The sequence below is a fragment of the Homo sapiens genome, chromosome 6 (assembly GCF_000001405.40).
Source record: "Homo sapiens chromosome 6, GRCh38.p14 Primary Assembly".
NCBI classification, from domain to species: Eukaryota; Metazoa; Chordata; class Mammalia; order Primates; family Hominidae; genus Homo; species Homo sapiens.
This window is the reverse complement of record NC_000006.12, coordinates 156,882,526-156,894,772: the sequence shown is the minus strand read 5'-3', so window position 1 is coordinate 156,894,772 and position 12,247 is coordinate 156,882,526. Positions and strand designations below refer to the sequence as shown.

Genomic DNA, 12,247 nt, shown 5'->3' with positions numbered 1-12,247 from the left:
GTGAGCTTTGAAGTTATGATACTAAAACACGCCCCAGTTTCTATCACAGACCTGGTGTCTCTGAATAGCTCAATCTACTTACATTATCAGTTTGTTCCTCCTTTTGGAGGAAAAGAATCTATGAACAAAAGAAATACTTGGCATTGTCCTAAACTTATCAGAGACGTATTCAAGTGTGGTGAAAACTCCCCACTACTGAATTCTAACATGCTACTATTTTGCTGTGTAAAAGAATGAGCACCTTTCTCCTTATCTTCCATGTCTAAAGACCTTTTTTAATTGTGCTAAAATATACACAAAATTGACCATTTTAACCATTTGAAGTATACAGTTCAATGATGCATAAGTACATTCACACTGTTGGCCAACCATCACCACCATCCTTTTATAGGATTTCATCATCCCAAATGGAAACTCTGTGCCCTGGAAATAACAACCCCACATTCTGTTCCCCATCCCAACCCCCGGCCCCCATCCCAACCCCCCGGCCCCCATCCCAACCCCCGGCAAGCACCATTACACTTTCTGACTCTATGAATTTGGTTAGTCTTGCTATCTCACATAGGCAGAATCACACAATATTTGTTCCTTTGTGTCTGGCTTATTTTGTGTCTGAGTTAGCATAACGTATTCAAGGTTCATCCATGTTGTGGTGTGTATCATGTTTCATTCCGTTTTAAGGCCACGGAATGTATACAGCATAACTGTTTATCCACTCACCCATGGATAAACACTCGACTGTTTCCAACTTTTGAGTATTGTGAAAAATGCTGCTCTGAATAGGGGTTTACAAATATCTGGTCGAATTGTTGCTTTTACGTCTTGGGGTACATTCCGAGAAGTGGGACTGCTGGAGTATATGGTAATTCTATGTTTAATTTTTTGAGAACTATCATACTGCTTCTCACAGTGGCTGCACCATTTCACATTCCCACCAACAGGACGCAAGCTTCCAATTTCTCCATATCCTTGACAACACTTGGTATTTTCTGGGTTTTTCTTAATATTAAATATCAGCTGTACTAATACTGGGTGTGAAGTGATAACATACTCATTGTGAAATTTGCATTTCTCTAATGATCAGTGCTGTTGAGTACCTTTTCATGTGCTTATTGGCCATGTATATATCTTCTTTGGAAAAATGTTTATTCAAGTCCTTTGCCATTTTTTTTAATTAGGTTATTTGTTTTGCTGTTGATAGGAGTGTTTTATATAGATATTAATCCCCTATCAGATATATGATTTGCAAATATTTTCTCCTATTCTGTGGGTTATACCTTTTCACTCTCTCGATAGTCTCCTTTGATGCTCAAAAGTTTTTAAAACTTTGACGTACTCCAATTTGTCTGTCCTTTCTTTTGTTGCCTATGCTTTTGGTGTCATATCCAAGGAATAATTACCAAATGCAGTGCCAAACTTTTCCTCTGTTTTCTTTTAAGAGTTTTATAGCCAGGTACAGTGGCTCACACCTGTAATCCCAGCACTTCGGACGGCCGAGGCGAGTGGATCATTTGAGGTCAGGAGTTCGAGACCAGCCTGGCCAATGTGGTGAAAATACAAAAATCAGCCAGATGTGGTGATGAGTGCCTGTGATCCCAGCTGCTCAGGAGGCTAAGGCAGGAGAATCACATGAACCCAGGAGGCGGAGGCTGCAGTGAGCCAAGATTGCACCACTGCACTCCAGCCTGGGTGACAGGGCAAGACTCCATCTCAAAAAAAAAAAAAAAGGAAGAAAAAAGAAAAAAAAAGAGTTTTATAGCTTTGTTTAAGCTCTTACACACTTAGGTCTATGATAGATTATGAGCTAATTGTTATATATAGTCTAAGGCAAAGGGTCCAATTTTATTCTTTTGAAAGACTTATTGTTTTTATTCTATACAATTTTCACATCAGCTTTGGATCTTTCTGTTTTAAGAAGTACAGTTTGGTATTTACACATCCATCAAGAACTATTTTTTGAAAAGAACTAATTAAATGTATACATTCTCAACACACCATATGGTCTGTTTGCATGAAATTCAAAATCAGGCAAAATCAACTTATTGTGACAGAAATCATAACAATGATTGTGGGATATGGGGCCTGGCTGGAAAGAGACATGAAGGAATTTTCTAGGAGTGACGGAAATAGTCTAATTAGGATAGTGGTATCCTAGACGTATGTAATTGTCAAAACTCACTGAATTGCATGCTTAAGATTTAGGCATTTTAATGGATATAAATAATAGCTTTAAAATATTGGTGGCATATGTATATACACTTAATACAGAAGTCTAAACTGTTCGTCTCCATTTTTATCATTCTATAACACACATTTTAACACATTTATGCTTAAATCTTTCTTGCCTTTAGACCTAGATGTAAATTTTGTTTTATAATTAATGACTGATCCTAGATGCTTATCAGTGAGTTTTTATGTTTTCATTTTACATAATCCAAAATATTACAGAGCAACAGGGCAAACTGAAATAATCATGGTGAATTTACAAAGTAAAATATGTAAGGCAAGTCATAATATGTATAGAAACAACGTTCTTTTAACCCAAAATTCTACTTTAGGAATTTATCTTAAGAAAAAGTATGAGGCCGGGTGTGGTGGCTCACGCCTGTCACTTTGGGAGGCCGAGGTGGCTGGATCACGAGGTCAAGAGATAGAGACCATCCTGGCCAACATGGTGAAACCCCGTCACTACTAAAAATACAAAAAAAAAAAGAAAAAAAAAAAAAAAAGAAAATTCGCTGGGTGTGGTGATGCACACCTGTAGTCCCAGCTACTCAGGAGAGTGAGGCAGGAGAATCGCTTGAACCGGAGAGGCAGAGACTGCAGTGAGCCGAAATTGCGCCATTGTACTCCAGCCCGGGGGAAAGTGTGAGACTCCGTCTCAAAAAAAAAAAAAAACAGAAAAGAAAAAGAAAAGGTATGAAACAAGTATGCAAAGATATGTGTAGCAAGGAGTTCATTGCTGCTCCACTCAAAAATAGGGAAACAGCCTAAATGTTTAAATGTCCATCAACAGGGAACTGGTTTGAGGGGGGGAAAAAAAAGAGCAGAGGTGAGGATTCAATAAAATACTATAGAGCCATTAAAAATAACAATCCTCATTTTACACTATATTTAATAACAAAAAGTTCTGTCCATATATTACTGAGTTGAGGTTTAAAGATAGCAGGCTACAAAACCATATGTAGTATAATGTTATTTTTGAATGTGAGAATCTGTTTGTGGTATAGGTATAAAGAATTAACAGCCTCAAAGAATATATACCAAAATCACTCCTTAAACCAACTCTGTTTTTCATGAATCTAGAACAAAATGAAATTTATTTAGGATTATTTACTGCTGCTGTCTAAGAGTTATCAAAAAGTATAACAATTTATCTTAAACAGAAGAAAGCTCCTTAATTTTTATGTGTTTGTTTTTCATCACAGATTTGAACCCCTCCAGGTAAATTCTACAAAATGGGAAAGCAAAAAGCAGAAGAAAAATCTTAAGTCCACAACAGCTCCATTCACATGTGGCAAATCCTGCTGGCTCCTGATTTCACAGGAAGATCAAACACCATTTTTCATGCATAAGAGACAGACTGAAAATTCCCCACAGCAAGAAATTCAGATGCTAAGCTGATGCGTGGTTGAACCAATTGCACAAGGAAATTTTATTATGTCAACATGTCCAGTCAAAAATAATGTGCTAGAAGGTAATAAATAAAGTTTACAAGGTCAAGATCTTACAACTGCTCAACATTCCACAGTCCCTTAAGCTAAGTTCCCAAATGAGACTCCTAAACAGCTTAGGTGCCTTTTCCTCCCCTCTTTCTTATTTTAAGAAGAAAAATAAATCTTGTTCTTAGGTTTGTCTAAGGAAAAAACAAACAACAACAACAACAACAAAAACTCCACAATTTCCTGAAATTCACCTTTCACCCTTGAAAAATGAGAAATAGTCAACAAATGTATATTGAGCACTTACTGTATGCACTGTATACTAAAGCTAAGTTCCCTCCAATTCTATCTGGCTTCTCTTGACTAACAGGAAAAAGATGACCCGGGATGAGAAAGAAGTTGGCAAAGTATACAAAAGGGTCAGGCAGTGTCCCACACTGCAGAATGGGCTAGCTGACCACCCACACCCACAAGCTGGGTCCATGGCTCTCACATTGCTCTGAAGTCCAGTATGTTCTGGCCTGGGCCCTGGTTCCTTCCTAACAGGTAACTTCTGGGCCATAAACATTGCCAGTTTTTAACAGGCTTTCTGAAACCAACACATCTGGGATAATTTAACCCTCCCCATTAGCTTAGAAATTTAAAAAAAATCATAGGATAAAATAGATTTACCTTTTTTGATTTGGGAAACATTGAAAAGTTCTCATTTTTTATCAGTAACAAGTCTTTTTCGTGACAAATTTTTTATAAAACTTAGAAGGGTACACACGATATAAGATTATAAAGACATACACATACAATCCCTCTTGGATTTCTTTACAATTATTAATTGCCTACAAAATTTCACTGCTTATTCTAAGTTCAACTACTCTATATTTAGCAAATCACAGCTGAAGTGAATAGTAGGTCAGACCAATGTTCTGCGGAGTGAATATTCTATATAGCTGTGGGAACTAAATGGTAGTGCCTCTCATGACCTCAATTTCCAGAAGTCAGGGATATGTCCTGAACAGCCTTTATTTCCTCTTAATAACCATTATGAATCTATTATCCATGAATTTATTTATACACTTCTTAAATTAATTTATATTTCCAGTCCAGGCTATCTCTTTAGGGTAACAAGCTCTCCCACATTATTATCCACTTTGCAAACTGGTACATCCTTTAGTTTTCATAAAATTAACTCCTTCAGGCTTCAAGGAGTGTTGCCTAACTCTTGTACACAGAATTTGATTAACAAATGTATAGTCAACCAACGCAAGTCAATTATATCAGCCCAAAGCCTTTTTTTTAACCATATCAAAAATTCCTTGCCAACTACTGTCCATGCCAGTCTGTCCCTTGATTCTTTTCCTTTGCCTATCTAAACTGCTTTCACCCTGTTCGCCTTTATTGTGAAACAGCAGCTAGAATAGCACAAACGATCCCGAAGGCACAGCAAACACGGCTGTACACAAGAGTGAGATCACTTTTCGAGGTACCTGGAAAAGGAAATCTCTAGTACACATTTTGTATTCTCCTCTCCCACTGAACTACAGATGTTTTCACCTTTCTTTCCAGGTCAGCCAATTAGAGGAGATTTTATTCAAGTATTCATAAAATGCAGGCATTCACTGGCAGTCAAATGCTTCCTCTCATTTACAACCAGTGTTGAACTAAAGTCTTACTGTACACAAAATTAACACGCAAGTGTATAATTGTAGTTTTATGCTCAAGTGCCCTAATTACACACTTTAAAACACTTTCTTCCTGAGGATCCAATCGAGAGTATTCGATACCACAGATCTATAAAGTCTACAGTGTGTTTTTTGACAAAATAGAAGAACAACAGGAAAAAATCCGCAGCTTCTGAGAGAAGAGCATTTGTTTAATACAAGGGATGACAAATCTTATTCTAAAATAGCTTAAAAAATAGCATATTTCCAGTGTATATAAACTTGGTATGGTAGGAGGGTTGCCTAAGAGTTAAATAATTCATACTGCCTATTCTTGAAGAAAACAGAGCTGGCATTTTAAAATGTGGTCTTTCCTAAACTGTCACAGCAGTGAAAAACTCACCTATAAGTTTGTGTGCCTTATTGATATAATAATATAAAACAGGAAAAAATTTTTAACAGTAAAAAGAGCCACACTCACTTTTAATGTGGAAGCTTTGACACCTAGGGTATCAATATTTGCATTTAAAACAAAATTAAAAAATAAGTATTTTCCATACCAAATATACAGTCATTTTTAAATGCGAGACTCATAACTATGGAAATGCATCAACATGACTTCGTAAAACTCTATTCCTGTGAAGGTCATAGGATACGTGGAAAGAAATGAAGGGCTCAGGAGGTAATCTATAGTAACGAACGGGTCAATTCTGCTCACAGAAGCAACACTTTCCTAGAAAATAAAAAGGCCTGAGCTGCCTTGCCTCACGGGGATTTGGTTGTTTCCATCCCAAAAATGCTGTCCCAGGAAAAGCACACTCGTGGTATCATTTATTTAGTAATGAGTACATCTCACTACAAAGCAATTTGGATTTTCCCTCTTTCTTGTTATATTATTGCCCAGACTGTAACTGGTAATTTTGAATTCGTGAATGTCATCTTTGAGATTTTCCATTGTTTTTAATGCAAAAGGATTACAAAATCAAAAGTCAACACAGTCTAACAGTACTTCACACACATGTTAGAACAGCAGGGTTTTCTAATAAGACTTTAAAATAAGTGTCAGGCTACAGTATGTTCGTGTTTCTAAAAACCACCCACTTGGTCCACAAGCACATGGTGAGGACACCATTTACTACAGTGTAAAACAGAAAACACTCGGGAAGCAGAAGTGATGGGAATTACAGAGGAGCTTCTTGCTTATCTGCCCTTCTGGCCAGAGATTTCTATTTTTATAAAGCACAAAAAGAGGAGCCAAGAGCTTTACCACTTTCCTATATAAACCCAGCTGCCAAAATGAATGTGCCAAAGGGGAATTTCAGAAAATTTTAAAGAGATAACCTTTGCTGAGGCTGCAATGTCAACTTTGTAACCGCATGACTGGGACATGTGCAGTGAATGCTTGATTGAAAAGACTGTTCTCTTTGAGATAACTATGGGGTGGGGACAGGGTACAGAAAATAGGATTTACCAGAAGAGGACTAGAATTTTAAAAGAGTCAACAAAAAGACAAGCAACTGGTATCTTCCAATTTGGAAGGGGAGCCTTGTAGGGGAACAGGAGGAGCGAGACCATTCACTGCAGGCCACTTTCCACCCTGGGGATCGTATACTTGCATGATAAATGCATATAAATTACTCATTCGTGTGTAGGTTTTAAATACAGCCTTTGAAATTGTTTCTTCTTTTTTTTTCAAATGAAAGAATTGGGGGTGAGGTGAGATTATGCGGTTGCATTGTTACCACGAGTCAAAAGCCCACTCTCTGAGGGTGCAGGAGGGTGGGTGCTCCACAGCCTTCCTATATCCTTTTTCTCTTCTGGCCCTCCTCAAAATGATTTTTGTAACTAAGCTGATGAAAACAGAAGAAAATGCCAAGCCCATCAAAAATGAAAATTTCAAAAACTGCATTAATTTAAAGCATCATCCTTTAAAAAGATACAGTCTAAGTGTTCCATGAAGATACTTTTCAGGGAGAAAATGTACTCATTAATCTATCTACCCCTAAATTTAAATGATGTATATGGTGAAAAACATAGCAATGGAGAAAAGTAATAGCAATGGTAATCATGCAAGGGTCCAACTTCTCCACAGACTGTCCAAGACCCAACTTGGCTCTTAAATTTCTTCCTCTGAGACTTTGGGAATCGTGTCAACTGCAGAATCCATGAACAGACAGTCCCGTGGGAAGAGCCAGCATTGGTACGTTACTGGCACCCACTGCTCTCCCGAGAGGAGGCTGCACACTGACACAGACAGTGAAGAGGCTGGGGGTTTTGTCCCTATTACCTAGGACAGGACAGGCTTCAAATGAGCATGAGTCTTCTGTCGCCTTCCTGAGTTTCAGAATGTTCTCATAACAAATGAGGAGTGGGTTTATAAATAAATAAATCTTTCTACATTCGAAGATGCTGCTACCACCAGCCCACCATTTCACAAAGCAATGATTCCTCCCCTGAATTCCATGTACAAAGGTAGGGTCAGTGGAACACAAAAGCATTATCAGTGGTTCAAAAACTAACTCCTTGCAGCTTGTTCCCTGGATCATAGTTTGAGTTGGTGTAAAGGGAAGGGAAGAGGAGATGCTCAAAAATATATCCAGTACACAGTCCACATATTGCTGGATCAATGAGCTATTGTTTTAAATGAAAAAATATGTATCCATTCCCTTCCTCCTTGGAAGGCTCGGCACAGTTACACATTATTAAGAACTACTTTATCATACACTTCCGGAACTGGAAAAGACTTTGAATGGCCACTGGTTCAACTCTGTCCTTGTTACGGTCAAGGGCTAGGAAACCTGCATAATTTCACCCAGTAGTCACAAACGGAAGTGCTCACTCCACTCTCCCACGAGGCTCAGTCATTAAACGGAAGTGAAAGGTGGAGGAAGCGAACAGCCACTCAGACTGGGACAAGAGAGGCAAGGACACTTTGGAGGTCATGCTGTGTCCCAGGAGAGCAGTACGGGGTAAGGCATGGGGAGCCCAGAGGATACAAGAGAGCCAGCAGGGGTGGGAAAAGAAGCTGAATAGAGGAAGGAAGCCTGTAAATGAGAAATGCACACACATTTCTTTAAGTTTTAAAAACTAAAATTGTTAGCCAGGCATGGTGGCAGGTGCCTGGAATCCCAGCTACTCCAGAGGCTGAGGCAAGAGAATCACTTAAACCCAGGAGGCGGAGGTTGCAGTGAGCTGAGATCACACCATTGCACTCCAGCCTGGGCGACAAGAACAAAATTCAAAACAAACAAACAATAACAGCAACACTAAAATTGTAAAATCTGTGTAGTTGAGATTAATTTAGAAAGTATGGGTAGAATGTCCCTTATCTGAAATGCTTGGGATCAGAAGTGTCTTGGATTTCAAGCTTTTTCAAACTTTGAGATATCTGCATTACATAATTGCTGGTTGAGCATCCCTAACCCAAAAATCCAAAATCTTGGATGCTCCAATAAGCATCTCCTCTGAGCATCACATCAGTACTCAAAAAAAGTTTAGGATTTTGGCACATTTCTAATTTTGGATTTTCAGATGAGGGATACTCAACCTGTACAATATTAGGATACAAAATTTCTACCAACACAGACACTGTAAGTTCTAGGCACAAGTGGGAAGGGGAGGCTTCGTTGTGAGTCGTTTAGCACATAATCTTAACTTACATGATAAACTTGTGATACTGGGCAAGAAACAGGAACTCCATTTTAAAGTTGTGGCAATATGAAGAAGTGATGCTTTGGATAAAGTATCAAAGTACTTGAAATATCAACATATTTCAAAGTAAATGTTCATACAAAAAGAAAATAATTCAGTTATTTCCCTTGAGAAGAACAATCTGCAACTTTTAAAATTTCATCAGGTGGAACATGTACCAAGTAGACCCAAAAGATTGGTCAGAAAAAAATATAGGATGTTGACATTTTAAAATCAGTAACAGAAAGACACCCAAGGGCAGGCAGGGGAAAGGGAGGAGGACTTACTGAAGGTAGAATTTTCAGCAAAATAAATGTCTCACTTCTTTCCATTGCCTCCTCATTTTATATTTACAAATCATTAAAATTAGGCATTCTAAACTATACATTTTGAAACTCAATAAATAATCATAAAATGATACTTACCCACCTCAAACCAATACTTCAACATGGATGTATTCTGATTGTCCATTCTAAGCACCTCTGAAATTAAGTCAATAGACTTCAGTGAATGCATTTCACTGTTTTGGACATTAACTGGTACAAATACCTGTCTTAAGACAGAACCCTCCAAAATCCAGTGACATATAAGGATAACTGGGCTAAAATATTTTAGTTCTGAAATTAGATCATATTCCAATTTTACTTTATTTTAGCTATATTACCATTAGAAGGTAAAGCCAGGTTTCAAACAGTATCCTACAATGATTTTCACTTTAATAAATCCTTTAAATTTAAAAGATACACTGTATATGTCATAGGGAAACACGATTTCCAACTATTCATTTGACATATTTAGTTTCCTTTCAAAAATGTTTCTTACAAGAACAATGAAACTTTATCCCAGCAGCAACACTGTAGTCCGGAAGGACTTCCCCGAGCTCAAGACAAGGTATAAGGAACTGGGGGGAAATGATAATATTTTCTGACCAGGGCTACTACATTCAATAATCACTCACAATCATTTAAAACCTACAGCTATTTCTTACTGCCAGAAAAAAGAATTAGCAACACTAGTATCTGGGCATTCGGTGGTTCCTGAATCTCAGAACCTTTTTCCATTGCTCTTCACTCCCCAAACTAGTGGTAGCCTAATAATCCTAGAAACATGGCAGCCACCTCCTTAGCGGACTATGATTAGCCCACACACAGCATCCAGGAAAAACCAACTGCTGGAGTTTGGGCACTCCATCCTTACACCTCCTAATCCTCCCAGATGGAACGCCCATCTACAGAAGGCCCTCCAGGTGGCCACCTTACCCTTATCTGCTGGAGCTTTACTGGGAAGGCGCACTGCTTAGGAGGCAAAGACCTGCATGAAATAGAGAAGACCTGCCGTGCAACTGGCAAATCACTTAGCTATGGTTTCAGTTTTTCATCAGGTTGTCCTGAAAATAGACCATGTTCTAAATCTACTTTATCTGAACTACAAAAAAAAAAAAAATTCTTAAATTATCATTAGAAGGAAAAAGGGAGAGGGGAATCAAAGGAGCTTAAAAAATACTGAAAGTTAATTAGAGTAATGGCTGTCAAATGTTTTGACGCCAACTCGGAGGAAGAAACATATTTTATGTCAAAACCTTGAACACAGAGGACACTTGCTGTATGTGCTACATTTGTATCTTCTACTATTTACATCAAATTCCTTCCATTAAAAACATTTCTAGTTGCAGTCTAATACATTACTTTCTTGCTCCCATTAATGAGTCATAATCAGCAGTTTAGAAAACACTGCATTAGGGCACGATATTTTTTTTCCCAGAGAATCTCAAAGAAAACAGTTCCAAGTGATACTTTATCAGAATAAATGAGGGTCCCGCGATTCTGGCTCCTGAAATGCCTCTTCCCTGACCTACAGCTGTTGTTGATACAAAATGCCATTGCCAGAGAAAGAGAACTTACTGCTGGTCTGAGTAGGCTGAACTGCCAGGGCAGGTTAACAGGAAACACCTGCACAGGAGGAAGGCAAACACCAGCAGAACAGGTAACAGCTTACCTCCAGCACCTCCAGCACCTGCCACTCAGAGGAGCCGGCAACTCTCAGAAGAAGTCAAGAGTCAAAGCAAGGAAAGGTGAAGAGATGGGGCTGGAGTGAGACGAGGTGACAGTCCCGAGGTGAGGATCGGAGAGTGAGATCATGCTGTGGGGAGCGTGGGCCGAGTGCTGGGGCTGATGTGTGTCAGGCTCACGCTGGAGAGGAAAGCATGGAAGACATGGCGTTCAGAGGCAGCACGTCCAGAGGAGAAGGAAGTAAAGCTCAGAAAAGTAAAGAAAAGCAAGGAGAGGAAGGGCTATGACTTATTTTAACTTTCCACACAGATCCCCAAAGAAGAAAAGTAAATTGTCACGAAGACAAGGCAATCTATTTGTCCAGAGTGGAGGACCCCAACTGTGGGAGCTCTCAGATCACCAAGTCCCTGGAGTAACTTGGGAATCCCCCTAGCAATGAACTCTTTGCCAGGTTTATATGAATATTAGGCAAACAATAGCTCTGGGAGAAACAATTAGAAGAAATTATAACTACTACCCCAAATTTACAATAATGCTACCAAGAATAAAGACGGTTAACATATAATTGAGAATCTGCAAGCTGACGAGGAAGATTTGATGCAGGGAGAGAGCCCCGAAGTAAGATGCTGTCGGTATGGGGAGCCTAAAGGCGCCTCACAAACACTCCTTGACTATAACTCCCAGGGAGGCCAGAAGAAACCTAAGGCAGTTGCGTTAATTCAGGCTCTACCCTTAGAAAATGCAGAAATTAAGACAGCGAACTCTCCCTCTTTTCGGGTTCCCCGTGTAAGATTTTATCATAACCTTACTTTGTTCTCTATCCTGAGGCCTCAACATAAAAGCCCCTAGCCACAAAAATACAGTATAAAGCTAATCAGCTCTGTGTACTACAAAATGATTTACAAAATAACTACCGAACAGACCTCATTATAAAATGTTGTCACTGATATCACCTTCCCTCACCCAAAACTAGCACTCACGACAATAGCAAGACGTTATACAAAGCACTTTTAAACGTTTTAAACTATTTTCACACAGACGATCTCATTTACCTCCATAACAATCCTACGAAAAAGTATAGAATCAGTATCCTTTCACAGAAAAATGTCTAAGAGTATGTGGCCAGTGTGTGATGGGAACCGTGCTATATTTCTGGTCTCCTGATTGAAAGAGACCACAGCAATGAAAGAAAAAGGCAAGGCAAGGCACCCTTATAGTTGGTATCTGTAGC

General features: G+C 38.8%; 1 protein-coding gene across 36 annotated transcripts in view, besides 1 other annotated feature; it reads right to left on the bottom strand.

The window, feature by feature from the left end:
• Nucleotides 1–12,247, bottom strand: part of ARID1B (AT-rich interaction domain 1B) — a 434,754-nt gene that overhangs the window by 316,007 nt on the left and 106,500 nt on the right. The gene's annotated exons all lie outside the window — the stretch shown is intronic.
• Nucleotides 8,070–8,119: a silencer, noted in NCBI's record as "silent region_17717". NCBI's record gives its function as "represses an Ori minimal core promoter by ATAC-STARR-seq in GM12878 lymphoblastoid cells {active_cell/tissue: GM12878}" and the evidence as "EXISTENCE:reporter gene assay evidence [ECO:0000049][PMID:35858748]".